Source organism: Homo sapiens, chromosome 5 (assembly GCF_000001405.40).
Source record: "Homo sapiens chromosome 5, GRCh38.p14 Primary Assembly".
NCBI classification, from domain to species: domain Eukaryota; kingdom Metazoa; phylum Chordata; class Mammalia; order Primates; family Hominidae; genus Homo; species Homo sapiens.
This window is the reverse complement of record NC_000005.10, coordinates 34467318-34468771: the sequence shown is the minus strand read 5'-3', so window position 1 is coordinate 34468771 and position 1454 is coordinate 34467318. Positions and strand designations below refer to the sequence as shown.

The 1454-nt window shown below is 41.5% G+C and overlaps 1 annotated feature.

Moving 5' to 3' along the window:
* Nucleotides 532-581: an enhancer, noted in NCBI's record as "active region_22461". NCBI's record gives its function as "activates an Ori minimal core promoter by ATAC-STARR-seq in GM12878 lymphoblastoid cells {active_cell/tissue: GM12878}" and the evidence as "EXISTENCE:reporter gene assay evidence [ECO:0000049][PMID:35858748]".

The following is a 1454-nucleotide window of genomic DNA, read 5'->3' as shown; positions in this document are numbered from 1 at the left end:
TAAAAGCATCACAAAAGCCTCATAATAGTTCTCCCTTTGGAGACCCAGGATTCAGTGTGAGCTCTGCCCAGAACTCAGAGGTCCAGTAAAAGATAAGTAGCTCCTATCTAAATAAAATTGGTCTCTTCATACAATACTAAGATTGTTTTCTGTAATTTTATGTTTGATTTGGCATCCATCTTTAATTTCATACTTATCCCTTCCTAATATTATAAGGTGTTGAAATTTGGCATATGTAGGGAGACCCCCTGAAACTATTGCTATGGAATAAAAGATGAAATGCTCCTGATTATTGTAAATACAAAATTGCATGGAGGATTGTGTAAAGACAATGCCAGGTTGGGCTGCCAGAATGAGCCAACAGCACATGATATGCTTCCCCCTACAGAGAGCCTATAAACGGACATGCAGTCAGGGAGGTTTCACATCACCAAGATTCCTATCCCAGAAAAGCAGATGTTCATATCTCTGGGAATGGAATGCGACCCTTGTGGAGAGCCTATAAATAGACGCATGAGGGGTGCCTGTTCATATGGATAAGATAGGGCTATAAATGCCCTTAAGTTGCCATGGCTCTTCTAGGTCTCTTTAGGGTTAAGACACTCCCTTCTGAGAATTTGTGGTCTAACTGGTTGTCTAGTTTCACATTCTGCTTCTATTGATTGCTTGCAACCAGCTTTTGCTGCAATTACTACTACTGATTAGTATCTTACTAAACATAGGTTATGGATAGACTGTGTTTCTGTTTTAAGGCTCTGTTAGAAATTGCTGATGCACACACTATATTGTAAATTCTTATCTCTGTATAAGTACATATCTCTGTATATGTACTTCTGCATACTGATGTTATGTTAAAGAATTACTTCATCCCAATGTGACCATCTCACCTCATAATCAAACGACCCTAAATCCCTCACTAACCTACCCCCACCCTCACTAAACTTAATAATAAATGCTGGTATATCCAGTGCATTGGCGGCATTGCATGACCAGAAGGCGGTAAACCCCCTGGACCCAGCTTTCACTATCTTGTGTGTGTCTTTTATTTCTTAACCTGCCAATCTGCCTGGGAACAAAGAAAGAGCCCCATTGCATTGTGGGCTGTTGGCCAGATCCTGCAATATCTGGCCCAACTTGGCCTTCTTTGTTCCTCAGCTCAGTGCGCTCCGAGTGCTGGTTTGTGATGACTAGTCTTCAGTCTCGATGGTAAGGTCTCCGGGTACGCATTTTCCAACTCTCCCCTGTTTTTGGGTCTGTCGACCAGTATTATTCCAGGGTTAGGATGGGACAATCACAGTCTAAACACCAGGCTTATCTGTCTTTTATTAAACTTCTTCTTAAACAGGGTGGAATCAAGGCTGATTCCAGTAACCTTATTCTCTTATTTCAGACTATTGAAAAACCTTGTCCTTGGTTCCCTGACAAAGGTTCTATGGACCTGTTAGACTGGGATA